General features: G+C 40.4%; 1 annotated feature.

The window, feature by feature from the left end:
* Positions 1,037-1,663: an enhancer, noted in NCBI's record as "OCT4-NANOG-H3K27ac-H3K4me1 hESC enhancer chr8:86933576-86934202 (GRCh37/hg19 assembly coordinates)". NCBI's record gives its function as "activates a minimal SCP1, AML or CMV promoter by ChIP-STARR-seq in naive and primed H9 embryonic stem cells {active_cell/tissue: H9 hESC(naive and primed)}" and the evidence as "EXISTENCE:reporter gene assay evidence [ECO:0000049][PMID:30033119]".

Here is a 6,975-nt window from a genome sequence, read left to right as displayed (position 1 = left end):
AAATCAATTTTCTCCTTATTTTTTGGTAATTACAGGCTCACAAGAGTCTCTTTTCTTTTAGATCAAAGCAGGTAGCCTCCCTGAGTAATTGTGGCATGATTTCATGGCTCAATGCAAATGTAAAGAAGGAATAAGTCTGTTTTTCTCAGTCTGTGAGGAGAGTTAGTGAAACAAATATAGTTCTGAGGGAATCAGGGGAAGAAGGTGTATCTTTTTATCATGTATTAATCTTGCTGCTTTTTATATAGATGTTGACTATAATATTTACCAGCTTTCATTCATTGCCCTTGTGCCTCCCAAATTCACATCACATATTAATTACAAGAAAATTACTGAGGTGGGAGAATTGCTTGAGCTCAGGAGTTTGAGACCAGCCTGGGCAACATAGTGAGACTCCTATCTCATTTTTTAAAAAAAGAAAAATATGTTCTTTTTTTTTCCTTTTCACATATGAACATTTTGATTCATAGAAATGCGCCATAAAGATTGGTATAGGGAGGAAGAGGAACCCTGGGAATAGGATAAAAGGTCTATAAAGTGAGAGCTGTCTTGGAGGGGATGCAGAATACAATGCTGGCAACTGCTGTTGAAATGATTTGGATGCCTTTGTCCCTGAGTAGAATTGTCAAGCATTTGGTGATGTGAGAGTCACAGGGGAAATGCAGGCTTGACATAGATGACAATAGATGACAATACAAATACCCTGCATGACATTTAATATGGATTTATATATATGTTTCCTGAGACTTCTGCAAGTAGATTGCGGTTTTGTTTTGTTTTGTTTTGTTTTTTGTTTTTGAAAGATTCTTGCTCTGTCTCCCAGGTTGGAGGGCAGTGGCCTAATCTCAGCTCACCGCAACCTCTGCCTCCCAGGCTCAAGCAATTCTTGTGCCTCAGCCTTCCAAGTAGCTGGGATTACAGGCATGCGTCACCATGCCAGACTAATTTTTGTATTGTTAGTAGAGACGAGGTTTTGCCAAGATTGCCAGCCTAGTCTTAAATGATCTGCCCACCTTGGCCCCCCAGAGTGTTGGGATTAAAGGCTTGAGCCCCCGTGCCTGGCCTGCAAGTAGCTTTTCCATAAGACTATGCCTTAGTCCATTTGCGTTGCTATAAAGGAATAGCTGAGGCTTGGTAGTTTATAAAGAAAAGAGGTTTATTTGGCTCATGGTTCTGCAGGCTGTACAGCAAGCATGGCACCAATATCTGCTTTTGATGAGGGCCTCAGCAAGTTTCCACTCATGGCAGAAGGTGAACGGGAGCCACTGTGTGCAGAGATCACATGGAGAGGAGGAGACAAGAGAGAGAAGGGGGAGGTGCTCTTTCAACAACCAGTTCTTGCTCTTTTCAGCAACCAGTTCTCATGGGAACTAAGAGTGAGAGACTGCTCACTCCCAAGACAATGGCACCAAGCCATTCATGAGGGATCCCCCACTGTGATCAAACACCTCCCACCTCCCACACTGGGGATCAAATTTCAACATGAGACTTGGTGGGGCCAAACAAAACATATCCAAACCACAGCAGAGTGCTTGTCTTGTATTTCAGATCCTGTTAGAAGTGTGGGTTTTGAGAAGATATAGGTGTGAATTATGTCTGTCGTTAAGAGAAAATAATTTTGGAAAATGTGTGTAAAATTGTGCAGATATGTCTTCCACACATATTTTCTTCCCTCAAAACCCCTTCATTGCAGTGGGGCCCTTATTGCTGCCAGTAGTGATACTCTTGAAACCATGAACATTGGTTCTTGCCAAATTTGAGAAGAGAACCTTTCTGCTTTACTCAATCATTAAAACAAACAAACAAACAAACAAACAAAACAGGACCAGGCGCAGTGGCTCATGCCTTTAATCCCAGCACTTTGGGAGGCCAAGGCAGACAGATCACCTGAGGTCAGGAGTTCGAGACCAGCCTGACCAACATGGAGAAACCCTGTCTCTACTAAAAACACAAAATTAGCAGGGTATGGTGGCACGCACCTGTAGTCCCAGTTACTCAGGAGGCTGAAGCAGGAGAATTGCTTGAACCTGGGTGGGCGGAGGTTGCAATGAGCTAAGATTGCACCATTGCACTCCAGCCTGGGCAACAAGAGTGAAAGTCCATCTCAAAAAAAAAATACTCAATATATGTATTTTGGAGTTTTTTTTTTAAATTAGTAACTATTTGGGATTCAAGAGCACACATGCAAGTTTGTTATAGGTAAATTGTGTGACACAGAGGTTTGGTGTACAGATTATTTCATCAGTCAGGTAATTAAGCGTAGTACCCAATAGGTAATTTTTCGATCCTCATCCTCCTCCCAACCTTCACCCTCAAGTAGGACCCAGTGTCTCAAAACCGATATTTTTTCAGATCCTTCTGTATATTGGATATTGTGCTAGGCTGAATTCTTGTATTAGGGAAATACAACAAACACACATTTATTTATTCAATAAATATTGAGTACTTACTATATGCCAGACCCTGTATTAGGTCATGGGATATGCTACTGCACTGAATAAAAAGACAAAAAAAAAAAAAAAGCAAGCAAAAATTCCTGCTGTCGTGGGGCTTATATTCTAGTTGGCTAACTGGGGACGACAATGAGCAACATAAGTAAATTGTAGATAAATTAGATAGTGATGAGGAGTATGTGCTGAGGATGAAACATAGCACAGGGAATGAAGGGTGGGAGAAGGAGTTGAAGTTATAGACAGGGTGGCCCAGAAAGGCCCCGTGAAGAAGGTGTCACTTGAATAAAGACCCAAGGAGGCCAGAGAGGGAGCCCTGTGGATATCTGGGGGAAGAGGCCTGGGTAGGAAGCATGCCTGGCATGTTGGAGGAATGGCTGGGAGATGGAATGGCTTGGAACAGGTGAATGAGGGGCAGAATAGCAGGAGATGAGATAACAGGGTGACAGAGAACCAGGCCACATAGAGCCTTGTCCATCTTAGAAAGACTCAGGCTTCCACTCTAAGATAGAAAGGCATTAGAGGGCTTTTTGTTTGTTTAGGTTTTCTTATTTATTTATTTTTGTAGATGAGAGAAAGATGAGACTTCCATCTGAACAGCATCACTTTGGCTGAGAGTGGTGATTAGAGGGAAGGAAAAAGATGGAAGTGGGAGACCATTTGGGAGGCTACTGCAGGAATCCAGATGAGCCATGATGGTGACTTGCTATAAGTCAGGGAGGGTGATAAGTGATTAGACTTGGGGTACATTTAAAAAGTATATCCGAAAGGACTTTCTGGTGGGTTAGATTGGAAAGGAGGAATGCCAAAATCTCTGAAGCTTTCGGACTGAGCAAAGGATGAGATGAAGTAGACTGATGGACAAGCAGGTCTGGGTGGGGTGGTGAGATCACCCTCAGTCACGCTGAGCTAGAGGTGCCCATTAGGCAAGTGGCTGTGTCAAGTAGGTGAGTGGATATGGAAGCCTGGACTTGCAGGGAGAGGTCTAGTTTGGAGATATTGGTCTGTAAGTTGGCAGCCTAGAGGTAGTATTTAAAGCAATAAAATTGAATGGAATCATCTAGGAATAAATTTGGATACAAAAGATAAAAATTCAAGGGGTACACCCTTGATCGCTTCTAAAACTGAAGATCTGGAGAACTGGAGAAACCAGGAAAGGTGAGTGAGAAGGAGTGATTTGTGAGGTAGTAGGAAAACTGAGACAAGGATGTAGCTAAGTGTAGAAATTCCTGGGGTAGGGGTATGGAAGAGGGAGGGGTGTGTGTGTGTGTGTGTGTGTGGTGGATATGTGGTATATATGTCATATAAACTGTATCAAATGCAATTTGTAGAAACTGAATTGACTGCTGCATTTAGCAACATAGAGGTCATTTGTGAACCTGAGAAGCACATATAAAACAAAAATAATGGAGCACAGATTAAGTGACTAATGTGTGGTAGAGACCCTGCATGTGAGAACAATGTAAAGGTCTTGTAAAACGTACAGATTCCTGAATCCTATTCCCCAGAGAATTGAACCTGTAACTCTAGAATGGTGCCTGGGAAGCTTTCTTTTTAAAATGTACCATTTCACTTAGATGACCAGCCAGATTTTGAATTCCCCACTGTAGGTGCTTCACAGTCAGGAGAAAATAGTAATCACGCTGAGCAGCAGAATGTTACCCGAAGCAGAATAGATACAGTTGAATAGGCCAGAGAAGCTAGGAAACCTTATCACTGCCTCATGAGCAATGCAGCCAATTGACCATAATAAATAAGGAAAAGGAGCTCAAATTTCTCCAAGGAGTTCAAATTAGGGAGAGAGGATTTTGGAAAAGGACGTTGAAGCTGAATGGTGCAAACTGCAAGTCTAGCTAAGTCTGTGTAGGTAACCAAGAGTCACCGAGGGCATCCGAACCTGAATGGGACATTATGAAGTTGATATTTTGTGAAAATTATATATGCTAGCATTTTTCTTTATTTATTTTTTATTTATTTTTTATTATACTTTAACTTCTAGGGTACATGTGCACAACATGCAGGTTTGTTACATATGTATACATGTGCCATGTTGTTGTGCTGCACCCATTAACTTGTCATTTACATTAGGTATATCTCTTAATGCTATCCCTCTCCCCTCCCCCTACCCCATTACAGGCCCCAGTGTGTGATGTTCCCCTTCCTGTGTCCAAGTGTTCTCATTGTTCAATTCCCACCTATGAGTGAGAACACGCAGTGTTTGGTTTTTGTCCTTGCGAGAGTTTGCTGAGAATGATGGTTTCCAGCTTCATCCATGTCCCTACAAAGAACATGAACTCATCCTTTTTTATGGCTGCATAGTATTCCATGGTGTATATATGCCACATTTTCTTAATCCAGTCTATCATTGATGGACATTTGGGTTGGTTCCAAGTCTTTGCTATTGTGAATAGTGCCGCAATAAACATATGTGTGCATGTGTCTTTATAGCAGCATGATTGATAATCCTTTGGGTATATACCCAGTAATGGAATGGCTGGGTCAAATGGTATTTCTAGTTCTAGATCCTTGAGGAATCGCCATACTGTTTTCCACCATGGTTGAACTAGTTTACAGTCCCACCAACAGTGTAAAAGTGTTCCTATTTCTCCACTTCCTCTCCAGCACCTGTTGTTTCCTGACTTTTTAATGATCACCATTCTAACTGGTGTGAGATGGTATCTCATTGTGGTTTTGATTTGCATTTCTCTGATGGCCAGTGATGATGAGCATTTTTTCATGTGTGTGTTGGCTGCATAAATGTCTTCTTTTGAGAAGTGTCTGTTCATATCCTGTGCCCACTTATTGATGGGGTTGTTTGTTTTTTTCTTGTACATTTGTTTGAGTTCTTAGTAGATTCTGGATATTAGCCCTTTGTCAGATAAGTAGATTGCAAAAATTTTCTCCCATTCTGTAGGTTGCCTGTTCACTCTGATGGGAGTTTCTTTTGCTGTGCAGAAGCTCTTTAGTTTAATTAGATCCCACTTGTCAATTTTGGCTTTTGTTGCCATTGCTTTTGGTGTTTTAGACATGAAGTCCTTGCCCATGCCTATGTCCTGAATGGTATTGCCTAGATTTTCTTCTAGGGTTTTTATGGTTTTAGGTCTAATATTTGAGTCTTTAATCCATCTCAAATTAATTTTTGTATAAGGTGTAAGGAAGGGATCCAGTTTCAGCTTGCTAAATATGGCTAGCCAGTTTTCCCAATATGGTAGCATTTTTAAAGAAGTTAATTTGAATAATAATCCATTGTAAAGGTTATTTTTCATCTCTAATGTTGATAGGTACTCTGTTTTTCGTTTCATTGTGGACCTCAGTTTTAGGATTTTTATTATGTTTCTGGCCACTGCCGCATCTTTGCAGTTTCTGTCATCACTCTCTTTTCTGCCATTTTTTACATTTATCTTGAATAGTGATTCTCAAGCAATAAGCTCTAATGTTCTGATGAGCCCACATATTTTTATCAATCTGTAATATTTATTTTTATGTCATTGGGTATAAAATATATTTGTCAGACAGAACCCTGAGTGGAGTGGATCTTGCATTGGAGTGTAACAGAGAGAAAGTAAGAGGTAAGAGGAGGGTGATGGTACAATCTATCATCCATGCAAGGACACTTTCAGGAGTGAAAAGGGGTGCCATCAACAATCACATCAGGACAACAGGAAGGAACTGGAATTGTTTAGGTAAATTGGGACATATGTGCACCTAGGAACTACAGGCTTTAAAGCTAAGTTTAAAGCTAAAAAGAATGCTCTGCTTATGGAACTTATGAGAACTTTGCCTTGTGAATATATTGAGCGTGCCCTAGGTGGCAAATAGCATTATTTAAACAGCTGCTAGTGTGCAATGAGACGATAGTGCAGGAAATGTGGATACTTTTAGATAAACTGCAAAATATTGTGGTATTTTCATAGTGGTTGTGCCTTGTGATTATGTGGATCGTTTACATCTATTTTGAGGTTTATACTTTATATGTCTCAGCTGTATAATTATGGTAAAGGTTATAATCCCTTCTAATATGCTTCAGAAACTTCTACTATTTGGAAATCTGCAGTGAACACAAAAGGAATGAATACGACTAACGTGCTCCAAGTGATTACTTAGAGCAGTTCGCCTGAAGGTTTGTTAAGATAATAGTTAATAATATCAACTCCTGCTAAACATTTCCACTCATTTCTAGGAAACTCCTCCTAGTTTGCATTTCCTCCATCTTCAGACATCTTCTGGTATCTCCTAGCCTGAATAAGAAAAACTCAATGTGACCCTGACAACATTTCTATGTACCTTTTCTTTTCAACAATTACCACGTTGATTGTTGAATCTGACGACGTATTTTAAATTCATGCTGCTTGATGACTTCACATCACTTTTATACCATTGATCTCTCTCCTGAAAATTCTCTTTGAAACATTACTATTTGCTTCTGCTTAAACCTTCTAGAACTGCTTCACTGATGCTTTTTTCTCCTCAGTTACGAAAGCTCTTGGTATTGTGTGTGGGCAATTCTGTGTATATTCTTGATGTT

The sequence above is a fragment of the Homo sapiens genome, chromosome 8, assembly GCF_000001405.40.
Source record: "Homo sapiens chromosome 8, GRCh38.p14 Primary Assembly".
NCBI lineage: Eukaryota > Metazoa > Chordata > Mammalia > Primates > Hominidae > Homo > Homo sapiens.
The sequence above is the reverse complement of the archived record's forward strand: the minus strand, read 5'-3'. Positions and strand labels throughout refer to the sequence as shown.